A 14,229-nucleotide genomic window follows, 5' to 3' on the forward strand; every position below is an offset into this window, starting at 1 on the left:
GAGCATAGTAGATTAGCCATTGACTTGTTTTCCCCCTGTTGGATCTTAATCTTCCATGCAAATTAATCACCAAGGGCTCAAAAACAGCCCTTGGATTAACATGCTCTGTTCACAGTCCTGGCATGTTGGGACCCAAGCCCAGTCCCTCATGGGGAGGGACTTCACTTTCTTTTGCTCCTCCCCAGTAGCCCTCCTATTGGTTTGGATACAGCTACCCTGGGTTTGGCTCCTGCCTTTTCCTTCACAGTTGCTACCCAGGAACAGGGAAAAAAGGGGTCTGCTATTGATGATGTTGGTAACCCCCACTGGGTGAACCTCACTGGGTGAACAGGTCAGCCACACACGCTACAAAAAAGAAGGGCATCTGCCTCAACAGTAGAGTGAAGAAAGGCAGAAGTCTGCTCCTTATGAGCTAGCCTCCAGGGCATACAAAGACATTCTTACACATTCATTCCTTTTTGTATTCACTTTTTGAACATTTATTGGGCATCTGTAGTATGCTGGGACATTCATTGGTTCTGAAGACATGGAGATAAACATTGGGGTACTCTGATCCATAAAACAAATACTTCTAAACCTGCAAAAAACTTAGCCACACACTAATAGTGGGGAACTTCAACATCCTACTGACAGCTTTAAATGGATGATTGTGGTGAAAACTAACAAAGAAATTCTGGACTTAAACTTGACACTTGACGAATTTGACCTAATAGTCTTATTGTTTTATCCAAATTACCACTGTGTCCCTTTTAAGTAGGGCATTTAGACCAATTACATTGAAGGTTAATATTGATATGTGGGATGTTTATCCTGTCATTGTTTTGTAGACTCAATTGTGCAGTTGCTTGATAGAGTCATTGGACGATGTACTTAAGTGTGTTTTTATGTTAGTAGTACTCTATCTAACAAACACAGAATATACATTCTTCTCATCTGCATATAGAACATATTATAAGATTGACCACATGCTTGTCCATAAAGCAACTCTTAATAAATTTAAAAAATAGAAATTAGACTATACTCTCAGACCACAGGGCAATAAATTCAACACCAAGAATATCTCTCAAAACCACACAATTATATGAAAATTAAACAACTTGCTCCTGAATGACTTTTGGGTAAACAATAAAATTAGAGCAGAAATAAAAAATTCTTTCAAATTAATGAAAACAGGACAGAACATGCCAAAATATCTGGGATACAGCAAAAGCAGTATCAAGAGGAAAGTTTATAGTGCTAAATGCCTACACCAAGGGGATAGAAAAAAATCACAAATTAATAGACTAACATTGCACCAAAGGAACTAGATAGACAAGAACAAATTAACCCCAAAGCTAGTAGAAGAAAATAAATAAAATCAGAGCACAACTGAATGAAATTGAGATGCAAACATTTGTACAAAAGATCAACAAAACCCAAAGTTTGTTCACAGAAAATACAAACAGAATTGATAGTCTGCTAGCTATATTAACAAAGTAACAAAAGGGAAAACCAAAAGAAGCACAATCAGAAATGACAAAGATGACATTACTACTGATTCCACAGAAATATAAAGATCTTCAGACTATTATTAACACCTTTATGCACACAAACTAGGAATTCTAGAGGAAACTGATAAATTCCTGGAAACACAAACCTCCCAAGAATGAATCAGGAAGAAACTGAAACCTGAACTGACCAATCTTGAGTTGCAAAATTGAAGCAGGAATAAAAACCAACTAAGCAAAAAAAGTCCAGGATTAGATAGATTTACAGCTGAATTCTACCAGATGTACACAGAACAGCTGATACCAATTCTACTGATACTATTCCAAAAAATAGAGAAACTCCTCCTTAACTCATCTATGAAGTCAGCATCATCCTGATATCAAAACCTAGCAAAGACACAACAAAAAAAGAAAACTACAGGCCAATATCCCTGATGAACTTATACACAAAGATTCTCAACAAAATATTAATACTAGTGAACTTAATCTAGCAGCACATCCAAAAGTTAATTCACCATAAAAATGTAGGTTTGATTCCTGGAATCAAGTTTGTTTCAACATATGCAAATCAATAAATGTGATTTACCACATAAACATTAAAAACAACACCTATAGGATCATCTCAATGGATGTAGAAAAAGCTTTTGATAAAATTCAACTTCCCTTCATGTTAAAAACCCTCAACAAAGTAGGCATCAAAGAAACATACCTCAAAATAATAAGGGCCATCTGTGACAAACCCACAGCCAACATTATATGGAATGGGCAAAAGCTGGAAGCAGTCCCCTTGAGAACTACAACAAAATAGGATTCCTATTCTCACCATTCCTATTCAGTGTCATACTAGAAGTCCTAGCCAGGGCAATCAGGCAAGAGAAAGAAATATAAGGCATCCAAGTAGAAAAAGAAGAAGTCAAACTATTTCTCTTTATTGATGATATAATTCTATACCTAAAACCCTAAAGACCTCACCAAAAGGCTTCTAGAAGTGATACACAACTTCATTAAATTTCACAATAGAAAATCAATGAAAATCAGTAGCATTTCTATACATCAGTAATGTATGACCTGAGAGCCCAATCAGGAACACAATCTCCTTTACAATAGCCACAAAAGAAGTAATGTCTAGGAATACATCTAACCAAGGAGGTGAAAGATCTCTAGAAGGAGAACTACAAAACACTGCTGAAAGAAATCATAGATGACAAACAAATAAAAAATTCCATGCCCATGGATTGGAAGAATTAAAATTGTTAAAATGGCCATACTGCCAAAGCAACTTACAAATTCTGTTCTATCAAACTACCAATGCTATTTTTCACAGAATTAGAAAAGACTTTTCTAAAATTCATATGGAACCAAAAAAGAGCCCAAAGATCCAAAACAAACGTAAGTAAAAGGAGCCAAACTAGAGGCATCACATTACCCAACTTCAAACTATACTGTAAGGCTACAGTAACCAAAATAACATGCTACTGTTACAAAAACAGACACATAGACCAATGGAACAGAACAGAGAACCCAGGAATAAAGCCCCACACTTTCGATCATCTAATCTTCAACAAAGTGGACAAAAACAAGCAATAGGGGAAGGACATCCTATTCAATAAATGGTGCTGGGATAGCTGGCTAGCCATACACAGAAGAAAGAAACTGGACCCTACCTTTTACCATTTGTACAACAATTAACTGAAGATGAATTAAAGGTTTAAATGTGAGACCTCAAACTAACAGAATGCTAGAAGAAAACTTAGGAAACACTATTCTGGACATCAGCCTTGGGAAAGCTAAGGTTAAGTCCTCAAAAGGAATTGCAATAAAAATAAAAATTGATAAGTAGATCTAATTAAACTAAAGAGCTTCTGCATAGCAATAGAAACTTTCAGCAGAGTAAATGTACAGAATGGGAAAAATATTCACAAACTATGCATCCAACAAAGGTCACATATCCAGAATCTGTAAAGAATTTAAGTAACTGAACAAGCAAAAAACAAATAACCTCATTCAAAAATAGTCAGAATACATGAACAGATACTTCTGAAAATAATACATACAAGTGGCATAGAAACATATGAAAAAATGCTCATCGTCACTGATCATCAGAGAAATGTAAATTAGAAGCACAATGAGATACAATCTCACACCAGTCAGAATCACTATTACAAAAAAGTAAAAACATAACAGATGTTGGTGAGGTTGTGGAGAAAAAGGAACAACTTATACGCTGTTGGTGGGAATGTAAATTAGTTTAACTACTCAACTACTGTGGATATCAGTTTGCAGATTTCTCAAAGAACTGAGAACTACCAGTCAATCTGGCAACCCCATTACTAAGTATATATCCAAAAGAAAACCAATTATTCTACCAAAAAGTCATACATGCACTCACATGTTCATCACAATACTACTCACAATAGCAATGACATGGAATCAACCTAGGTGCCCATCAACAGCGAATTGGATAAAGAAAATGTGGTACGTATACTTCATGGAATACTACACAGCCATAAAAAGAACAAAATTATGTTCTTTGCAGCAACATGGATGCAGCTGGAGGCCATTATCCTAAGCAAATTAACACAGGAACAGAAAACCAAATACCGCATATTCTCACTTGTACGTGGGAGCTAAACATCAGGTATTCATGGTCACAAAGATGGAAACAAAAGACATTGTGGGCTACTAGTGGGGAAAGGGAGGGTGGTGGTGAGGGTTGAAATTCTAACTGTTGGGTAGTATGGTTGGTATTTGGGTGGTGGGTGTATTCATACCACAAACCTTAGCATCATGTCATTTACCCAAGTAAAAACTTGCACATGTACCCTCTGAATCTAAAATAAAAGTTGAAAAATAAAGAGCAAATAAAACTGGGCCAGGGCAGCAATTCAAAGCATGATAGATAGATAGATAGATAGATAAATAGATTAAAATAAATCTAAACTACAAACTTGTCTTTTCACTATCTTGATAATGTTCTTTTATGGATTCTAGTTTTTAATTTTGATGAAGTCCAATTTATGTATTTTTCCTCTTGTTTCTCATGCTTTCAGTGCTATATCTAGGACTCCATTGTCAAATCAAAGGTCATGGAGATTTATTTCTATGTTTTCTTTTAAGAGTTTTAACATTTATGTTAAGGTTTTTAATTCATTTTGAGTTAATTGTTGTATATACTGCCATGTAAGAACATCACCTCACTCCTTTGCATGTGGCTATCATTATCCCAGCACCATTTGTTAAAAAGAGCGTTTTTTCTCCATTGAATTTTCCTGGCAATGCTGTGAAAAGTCAATTACCCATAGATGCTTAAATTAATTTCTGGACTCTCCATTCTCTTCCGTTAGTCTATGTGTAAAGTTACAGATCTACCCTTGACCCGGAATGCCTATCAGAAGCTGATCAAGTGCACACGTTCTGTTCTTATGATAATTACAACTGGGACTGGACTCTATAATATTTGACTGTATAGTGTCTTCCAAAATTCTTTCTTATAATGTTTCACCTTGTTAATAAACTCCTGAGCCTAAGAATGGAAAGAAACATGTTTTATACTCACAGTTTCTTAATTTCGAAAACTATCCTGCATGGACTGATCACTCAATTTAGGAAGCTGGCGTAAGGAGCATTTATTAGCATTCTGAACAGGGACCTCTGATCTAAGACTCTAAGTACTACAGTCATTTAGTAGTGAAATTCCATTCTGTGATTGGTTCTTAGAGAACTAGTTTTACAAAAGCCCAAAGATACAAGAAAGTTCACAGAAAACTGTTTGTAATACTTAGAAATTGGAACCAATAAAAAAAGGTAATCAGTTGGGGATAGATCATTATAAAGCCTCCATATGAATGAATTATTCATGATTATTTAAAATTGAAATATGTCTGCAGTTACAGAATAAGTTGCATAGTATGATCCGATATGTATATAAACAACATCATATATGTATGTGTGTGTGTATATATATATGTATATGGGTGTATGTGTATATATTTCACCTTGTAATATTTTACCTTGTTAATAAAACCCTGGACCAAAAAATGTAAGTTAAAGGATTGTGTGTGTGTGTGTGTGTGTGTGTGTGTGTGTGTGTGTGCGGCGCACGCATGCGTGTGTGCTCATAACCAAATTTCTGCAGGAATAAAGGGAACGTTTCTATATGATGACTTTGCCTTTTTTAAAAAAAAAACAAAAAGCACATATATTTAAATTGTTTAAGGGGAGGTCCATGCTCTGACCTTTAAACTAAATTGCCTTAAAACCTCCTGAAGAATTTTCTGTGTTGTCTGAGAACAGAGCTACAAAGAGCCATAACACTTTCCAAAGTTAGAGACAAAATATTCCTTTTAAGCTTGAGGGGCAAGCCCCTGGGCTCCTAAGCAGGCTGCCTGTGACCCTGGATATGAATTTCAGGCCAGCTCCTTCTGCCTTTTGGGGTCTGGTCAGCCTACCTGGATTTTATGTTCTTCAGAAAATCTTTGACCTTTTCCAGGGAAAACTTCACTATATCACTATTTGCAGGTAAAACTTTGCTTATATTTTAGAACCTCTAGAAAGAATGCAACTCTGTATATACTTTGATGTTATTTTATTAAAGTCAATTTCAGAATTCTGACCTCCAGAACTCCAAGAGAATCCACATTTCCTCATGGATTTGCTACTCAGTTTGTCCAAGAACTTATTGAGGTGCACCTCCTGGACCTGGCAGTCACTCCCAAAACAAGAGGAAGCAGCCATGAACCACCAGAGCTCAGAGAACTTGAGTGACATACACAGATTCTCCTACTGGAACTGAGGTCCAGATGCCCAGGCAGGCCCAGAACTCATTTTTCTACAGATGAGGGCATCAAATCTGCAGTGCGCTCACGCTGTCTGCTCCAGACCTTCAGGCTCTTCTGTCTGGAATGTTCCTCCCTGCTCACTTTGCACACCCAGGACCCAGCTCAGATGGGACTCCTCAGGGACACCTACCCACCTGGCCAGTCACACCTTCCTGTGGCACCTGCTCCTTGCTGTCTCCTCACCAATCATACTCAAAGCAGATGCTATGGATTGTGTTTATTTACCAGCTACAGGAGCATTAACATTTTATAATTAATATTTAATCAAGTTTAGTAAGCTGTATTTTTGAGGATATATGCAGATAGTTTAAAATTTCAAATAAAGTGTTACAAAGTTGCTTACTGGCATAAGCTCCAGCAATTTAATATGTTCATCCTTTTATTTCTAATATTGTCTATTTTCCTGATAAATCTTGACAGATGATTAACCATTTTTATTAGTGTACTTAAAGAAATGTTGATCTTTATTGAACTTTGCTGGATTTCTGTTACAATTTTTTTATCCATGATTTTTTACTAGAAATTCATATCTACTAATGTGTTTGGATTTATTCTGAAGACTTTTTCTAATATTTCTCAGATTAGAAACTCAATTCACTAATTTACAGTCTTTCTTACCTTCTAATATATCATTTATAAGTCTAATATTTCCTTAAATACTGCTTGTGGTAGGCAGAATAACAGCATCCAAAATATGTCCATATAGTAATAGATACTGATGCAATGTAATCACAATGGGCTAAAAGTGGAAGACAGAAGCAGAGATTCAGAGAGATTTGAAGATGCAATATTGCTGGCTTTGAAGATGAAGGAGAGGACACAAGCCAAGGAATGCCGGTGGCCTCTAGAAACTGGAGCAGTCAAGGAAAAGAATGATCTTTTAGAACATCTACAAAGAATGCCACTCTGTAGATACCTTGATTTTATTTTATTAAAGCCAATTTCAGAATTCTGATCTCCAAAACTCTAAGATACTATATTTGTGTTGTTTAAGTCACTGGTTATGGTCCTTTATTACAGCACCGATAGGAAACTAATGCACTGCATTTGTTGTATCCACAAATTTATAGTTTTACCAAGTATAACCTTTAAATATTTTAGAATATTCATTTTAATGTCTTCTTTCATCATCGGTTTTTAGAAGTTTATTTTTTCTGTGTGATTTTATGTCCAAATGAAGGCTATTTTTGTGACAATTAGATTAAGGTTAAATAATGTGGTCTGTGTGATGACAATCCTATGACACATGCAGCTTAGGATTTCATCATTTATTCTAGATTTAATGCATGGTCTACTGGACATATATAAAATATTAGACTTTAAAATAGGAAGGTTGAAATATTACATAAACTAAAAGGGCATCAAGTTTTTATTTTTTGCTACTTATATTTTACATACCTTTGTTGATCTTTTTTTCAAAATGTCTTTGCTCAAACAATTACTGAGAGAGTGTTAGACTCTTTTCATACAATTGAATTGTGCCTTTTGTAAAAAGAATTCTTCTGAGTTTTCTTGTAATGTACAACATGTAAAATACATATAGCCTCTTTCACCTGAAAAGCAGTGTAGTATGGAAGGGCATAGGGACAAAAACACACAAACAAAAACTTTCACCGATATCATTGGAACCACAGCAAAAACAAATACAAAGCACCTACCGTATGCAGGAAACCTGCTGGGCCCTGGGGTACCTGCTCCAGCTAATTTCCATGACAACCCGAAAGACCAGGACACAGATGAGGAGACTGAAGGTCAAAGAGGTGAGATCCTGTGGCAGGTGGCAGAACTAGGGCTGAACAAGGTTTGCTTGCTCCAAAGCCCAGGTTGTGGGGTGGAGAGCAAGGGCCACGGAAGGCCTGTGCCCTCCTCAGAGAAGAGTCCCGCTGCTACCTGCCCTCTGCAGCCCACCTGGGTTGGCATCATAGAAGCAGCCTCTCCCCAGCCGCAGCAAGGCCAGCAGGGCCAGCACGGGGCCATCTGAGTCCTCAGGAGAGGGCTACCAGCAGGGACTTGTGGGCCTCATCCAGGTGGCCACCAGGGTGTTGGCCACCAGAAGGTGCGATACGTCCTCCACATCCAACTCATTGGCAGTGTGGCCAGCTGGTGCACGCCGTGGGGCTTCCCTGTGGGGAGAGTGCCTCAGGATGGGCTGGCCCCTTCCCCACACCGCCTCACCTACCCAGCTGATTGGGCCACAGGTAAATCCTGTCTCTATGCACCTGGCCTGGGTAGCTTCCTTCCCACAGGACTGCAGAGACCTGTGTCCCTTTGGAGGGACCCCCACGCCATGCCATCCCCAGAACCCACAGCTGCACTTCCCGGTGTGCAGCCATCGACCCTACCTTCCCCTCAATCTCTCCGTCGCCCTGTGGGGGAGGCACTTTACAGATGACAGATTTGAGGTTACATAGATGGTCAGCAGCAGGGCTGACCCTGAGCAGATCCTGCATCAGTTTCCTTTTCCACAAAAATTTGGATTAGCAATATGGCCTTGCTGGTCTCTGGACCCATGGGTGTGTCTGTAGGCAGAACAAGGTAACACAGGGGCTACAAGTGGCATGTGTCTGTGTCCACGTGGGAATGTTGGGAATGCTCATGAATTCTCACTGGGAAAAGGAGACAGAGCCTCAATTTTAACAATTTCCAGATACAAATATAATGGCCTCAAATCACATAAAAGAAAGAAGAAAGTTCTTCCTCACCAGCAAACCAAAGCCATACAAATTAAGCACCTGGGAGGCAGAGGAAGAATGTGAGAGTGTGTGTGTGTGTGTGTGTGTGTGTGTGTGTGTGTGTGTGTGTTTGGTGGGGTGGGGGCTGACATCAATGATGACCCCAAGACATCCCCAGTCTCAGTGGTTTTAACATTGCTAAAACTCCTTCCTGTCATCTTCCAGCAGTCAGAGGACTTACTCATCGAAACAGCTGAGGTTGGCAAAAGAATTTGCACCCATTAGGTTGGCAAAGAATTTGCAAAGTGAGCATCAGGGCTGGGTGGAGGATGAGAGGTGACCAGATGGTTAGGGGGACAGCTCCTAAAGTCAAGGATCCTACAGGTGGCAGTGCTCCCTGATCCAGGAGCTCTATATCTGTCTCCATCTTAAGGAGAAAACATCGTGGAGACAGGATGTCACTCATGATGTGTTACAACCAAGAGCAAAAATCTAGGACTCTCCAAAGGAATAACAGCATGTGCACAGGACGGGCCATGGAGCTGCCAGGAAATATAATTAGCAACAAAAGGGATTTTCATGATCTGTTGAGTATAAAAGGATATAAATGGCATCCACAGCACAAACTCAATTTTCTGAGATATATTTTATATGCACACACAAAAAGACCAGAAGGAAATGTGAGCAGTGGGAGAATGGGTAAGTTTCATTGTTCCTTTCCATTTCTGAGTTTCTAATTTTCTGTGGAGAAAAAGCCCATGATACATCATGGTATTTGAGAGGGAGGATCCTAAAATCTAAGCCCTGGAGCTAAATCTGCCATCGATGCTGGGGGAAATCACTCCACCACTCTGCCTCAGTTTGCTCACCCATAAAATAGAAAGAAACACATCTTTCCCTACCTCAAAGGAGACCAGAATGCAACAGCAGCCCCCATGCATGCCCTCTGGCTGGTTTATGCTCTTCCTGCGCAGTAGGGCTGTCTATGTCCACAGCTTTATGCCCTGTGCCCTCTAAAACCCTGAGTCAGGTCTGAGCTGGAGCATCCTGCAGCCCTCCTCCTGCAGCAGCCCCAGCTGGTTTCCAGGCACATAGGCCTTGGGGCCTGCACTTCCTCCTCCGGCAACAGCCTCCATGCAGTGACACAGTCCAGTGTGCCCAGAACACAGTCCGGCCAGCACCTGCAGCAGCCCGAAGCTGCACAGTTACACACAGCTGTCTGGGTGTGGCGCCCCCTGTTCCACCACCTCTTGGAAGTCTTCCTGGATGCACCAGGAATTTCCTGCTGGCCAGCAACGTCCTCGGCCTTTGGGTGCACCTAGATGAAGTCCTGGAGGGTGCTGGCCACATCAGGAGGTAGGGGCATGGCAGCTGAATGCAGCCAGGTTGAAGGCAATGGGAGGCTGGAAGTGCTCAGGACAAGGTGCTGGTCCCCCCTTGGCAGAGGCAGGCCACGAGATCCTTGGCTGACATCATGCCGATGGTCCTGATAGACCCATGTCCAGTCCTCATGACACCTTGGGGACGGAGAGTGCGGTCAATGCACAGGGGTCAGCCAGTCCATACCCCCGTGGCCACCCATGCCCAGCCTCAAGCCACCTCCTGCTCTCCCCCAGTGAGACCCCAGGTTCAGTGTAGATCCCACTGCATGAAAACTGGAGGATCCAGTCGTTAAGGGGCATTTGTGGTGCTCCCTGAGTAGGTGGTCTCCATGGCCTGGGGTTGGGGTCTACCAGGCCCACTCCCAGCCCACTGTTTACCTCGTGGGCCTCAGCTTCCTCCTCTGCAGAATGGGACGCTGACCCTGCCCAGCTTAGTTCCCTCTAAGAACACCTGACCCCTGAGTGCCCACATGGGCAGGGTCTGGGTGGCCTGCGGGGTTAGGACCCAGCTATAGGACCCCTACCCCCACCCCTTACCCGTCCCAGCACTGGGCCAAGCAGGAAGGCAGAACTCCCCAACCCCAACCAGTCAATGCGGGAGCCTTCTCAGCTGGACCCAGGGCCACACCTCTGCCCACCGGCTCACACCTGGGCCATGCAAGGCGGGGTGGATGCACCTGCCTGGCCCTTGAGCGCGTGGGGGAGCCACCGTTGCCCACTTGGGAGGCTCAGTTCTGAGGTCGGGATTCCAGGCACTCCCTTCTCCCCCATTCCGAAACCTCCTGACTGGAAGAACTCTCTCGGCACAGCCTTTTCTTTCAGGGTCCCAAAGTGCCTGTGAGCAGGCAGCTCCTGATCTCCTCTGTGACACCCACAGACTCAAAGACACCCATATGCTCACTCATGCAGACAGGCGCTCTCGCCTGTGGCTCTGAGGCTGAGCCGGCTTTGCCTTGGTGAAGGACAAGGCCCTGGCGACCCAGATTCTCTCGTGGGTGGCTGGGGACAGAAGGGCGGTGGCGCGCTGGGCTGGCTGGAGGGCTCAGGCTCCGGCGCGAGTCCTGCAAGGATGCTGCCTCCAAGTGTGCTTGTGGGTGGCGGATCCCAGGGCCTGCCGGGAGAGTGTCCACTCCTCAGGAGGCCTGGCTGCTCAGCGGCGCCCCTCTGTGGCGAGACTCGCCCAGGCCCATGTCCGGCCCATCTCGCCCCAGCCAGGCTCCCCTGGGCAGCCTCAGGACAGAGAACCCTGAATTCAGAGGGAGGCTGGAGGTGTGGGGCCTCTAGGCACTTGCAGGGTGGAGCTACCCCACACCCAGGGCTCACCCTCAGACCTACCCAGGCGTCTCCAGCCTCACGCTCCCAGAGGTAAGGAAGGGGCTTCAGGAAGGTGGGGGCTACCTCCCCGCCCAGTACCGTCAGGCTCTGAATTCGTACCTGGGAACTCTGCCTTGGCTGACTTGGGGACCCCTTCACTGCTCAGCCTTCCCCTCTCTTCCTGCCGGGCGGTCCACCTAAGCTCCCTGACTCTTCCCACGCGGCCCTGGGTCCCCTCCCCACAGGCTGTTCCCTGCACCCGCGGGTGGGACTGGACCTTTCCCTGCACGTCCAGTCTGTTTCCCGCGGTCTTCCTCCGTCTGACCCTGGCAGCCCGCTCCTCTGGCCCCGGGCTGTGTGGGGACCGCTTTCCCCCAGGCCCGTCGTCAGTGTCCTGAGCTCCGCCGACTCCCGCCCATTGGCGTCGCAGGCCTGGTGACAAGCTGTCGCTGGCATCTAGGGCTCCTGGGACTCAGGCACATGGAGCTCCCTCGGGGCCAAATTTGTGTCACGCGCAGGGACACCGGAGGCGCGTGCACAGTCCGTGTAACGGCTTTGCTTGGCGCGTCTCCGTTTCTCTTCTGAGGGGCTGAGAGTCGCGGAGTTTCCTAGTTGGAGGCTGTGGCGGACGCGATTTGCTTCCTCATATAGGGTTCCGGAGGCGGCGAAAAGTCCAGCGGGTCTCCGAAGCCGGTAGACGGAGCCATGAAGAAGACGTCGGGCTTCAGGAGGGGGAAGGGCGGGCTGCCCTGGGGCTCGGTCAGCAGCCCCGGGAAGGTGGGCGCGGGCGCCGGGAGTGAGAGTGCGGACCACGCCTCCTCCCAGCCCAGGCGCCACGACCCGGACAAGGGGTTCGACAGGCTCCGCAGAGCTGCCGGCCGACACCGGACAGAGACGATGCGGCGGATCCTTTCTCTGCCGAAGAGTGGCGTGGATGACAGAGACGAGAAGAACAGGTAATAGGAACTGGAGCCCGGCAGGGGAGGGAGGAGGGCGGGTCGGGGAGAGGCCCCCTTTCCTGCTCTCGGCTCACCCCTGTCCCCGAGGGCGCTGGGCTTTGTTCCCTCTGCAGCCCGCAGCACCCGGTGTGGCAACCTCAAGGTCATCATTATGAGCAGCGCGATGAAAACAAAACTTTAGCTGGTCCGATCCTCTCATAATTCCCGTTACTTTACTGAAAGTTTTAGTGCTTTAACTAAAAAAAATTAAACATACCTAGCTTTTTTTTTATTGTACACATTTTAAACAATGTTATATATGCTGTGGAAACAAGCATCATGAGAAAAATAATTTCTATATTATATTAACTTCTGGGCTAAAAATTCTTTGGATAAAAATCTAATATCCCTTTTGTATCCACCTACACCTGAGTAATAAGTTATTTCATGAATGACCTCAGAAGGATCCTTTGAAGTGAGAGCATGGTTCCCTGTTCTTGAATAGGAAGACTAATCTTTCCTTCTTTCTTTCTTTCTTTCTTTCTTTCTTTCTTTCTTTCTTTCTTTCTTTCTTCTTTCTTTCTTCCTTCCTTTCTTTCTTTCTTTCTCTCTTTTTCTTTTCTTTCCTTCCTTCCTTCCTTCCTTCATTCCTTCTTTCTTTCTTTTTTTTTTATTATACCTGAAGTTCTGGGTTACATGTGCAGGACGTGCAGTTTTGTTACATAGCTATAACACGTGCCATGGTGGTTTGCTGCGCTCCTCAACCCATCACCTACATTAGCTATTTCTCCTCCCCTAGCCCCCCACCGCCCCCGACAGGCCCTGGTGTGTGATGTTCCCCTCCCTGTGTCCACGTGTTCTCATTATTCAACTCCCACTTATGAGTGAGAACATGCGGTGTTTGCTTTTCTGATCTCGTGATAGTTTGCTGAGAATGATGGTTTCCAGCTTCATCCACGTCCCTGCAAAGGACATGAACTCATCCTTTTTTATGGCTGCATGGTATTCCATGTGGTGTATAGATGGTGCCACATTTTCTTAATCCAATCTATCACTGATGGACATTTGGGTTGGTTCCAAGTCTTTGCTATTGTGAATAGTGCCGCAATATACATATGTGTGCATGTGGGAAGACTCATTTTTCTCAAGATGTGAACTCTTCATTTTAGATAAACCAAATAAAAACATCATGGTTTTAAGATTTTTGGGTTACATATGCTACCTTTTACTGTTATGATGACATTAAGAAAATTTTTGTAAAAGAGCAAAGACTTGCCCTTTGATATATCAAAGTGTGATATTAAGTTCCATTTGCTAAAAGATGAGAAGACAGATAAATGTGTGGAACAGAATAAAAAATGCACAAACACTGAACTATATGTAAAATTTTAGAACCTGATCCTGATGACATTTCATATGTGTATGAAAAGATGAGTTATTTGTAAATGAAATGTCTGTTAACCGGAGAAAACTAGCTAGATTTGTACATTACAAAAATAAGTTATTGATAGAATATGCATAAAAACTTATACAAAATTAGAAAATGCCAGAATACAACACGAATGCCTATTTATACAGATACATTTTTATGTTGACAA

General features: G+C 43.3%; 1 protein-coding gene and 1 long non-coding RNA gene across 7 annotated transcripts in view, besides 2 other annotated features; one reads left to right on the forward strand and one right to left on the reverse strand.

Moving 5' to 3' along the window:
* Positions 1–9,624: 9,624 nt before the first annotated feature.
* Positions 9,625–12,207, reverse strand: LOC105370295 (uncharacterized). Of its 3 annotated transcripts, NR_158454.1 has the most exons (3): positions 11,814–12,207; positions 11,281–11,490; positions 9,625–10,514 (listed from the first exon to the last, which is right to left on the reverse strand). It is a non-coding gene; the product is annotated as an uncharacterized LOC105370295 (long non-coding RNA). The 3 variants fall into 3 exon arrangements; NR_158453.1 differs by lacking the exon at positions 11,281–11,490 and having other exon boundaries at positions 11,971–12,207; NR_158455.1 differs by lacking the exon at positions 11,281–11,490.
* Positions 11,358–11,652: a silencer, noted in NCBI's record as "tiled region #11501; K562 Repressive non-DNase unmatched - State 20:ReprD". NCBI's record gives its function as "represses a minimal TATA promoter and a strong SV40 promoter by Sharpr-MPRA in K562 cells {active_cell/tissue: K562}" and the evidence as "EXISTENCE:reporter gene assay evidence [ECO:0000049][PMID:27701403]".
* LOC101927375 (ankyrin repeat domain-containing protein 26-like) overlaps positions 11,487–14,229 on the forward strand; it is a 30,147-nt gene continuing 27,404 nt past the window's right edge. For all 4 annotated transcript variants that reach the window (XM_011535334.3, XM_011535335.3, XM_047430817.1 and 1 more), the window contains exons 1-2: positions 11,487–11,744; positions 12,345–12,649. In XM_011535334.3, coding sequence (XP_011533636.1) covers positions 12,399–12,649 — 251 coding nt within the window. In that variant the 5' untranslated portion in view covers positions 11,487–11,744; positions 12,345–12,398. The remainder of the gene's footprint in view (positions 11,745–12,344; positions 12,650–14,229) is intronic.
* Positions 12,285–12,344: an enhancer, noted in NCBI's record as "active region_7478". NCBI's record gives its function as "activates an Ori minimal core promoter by ATAC-STARR-seq in GM12878 lymphoblastoid cells {active_cell/tissue: GM12878}" and the evidence as "EXISTENCE:reporter gene assay evidence [ECO:0000049][PMID:35858748]".

This window comes from Homo sapiens, chromosome 13 (assembly GCF_000001405.40).
Source record: "Homo sapiens chromosome 13, GRCh38.p14 Primary Assembly".
NCBI lineage: Eukaryota > Metazoa > Chordata > Mammalia > Primates > Hominidae > Homo > Homo sapiens.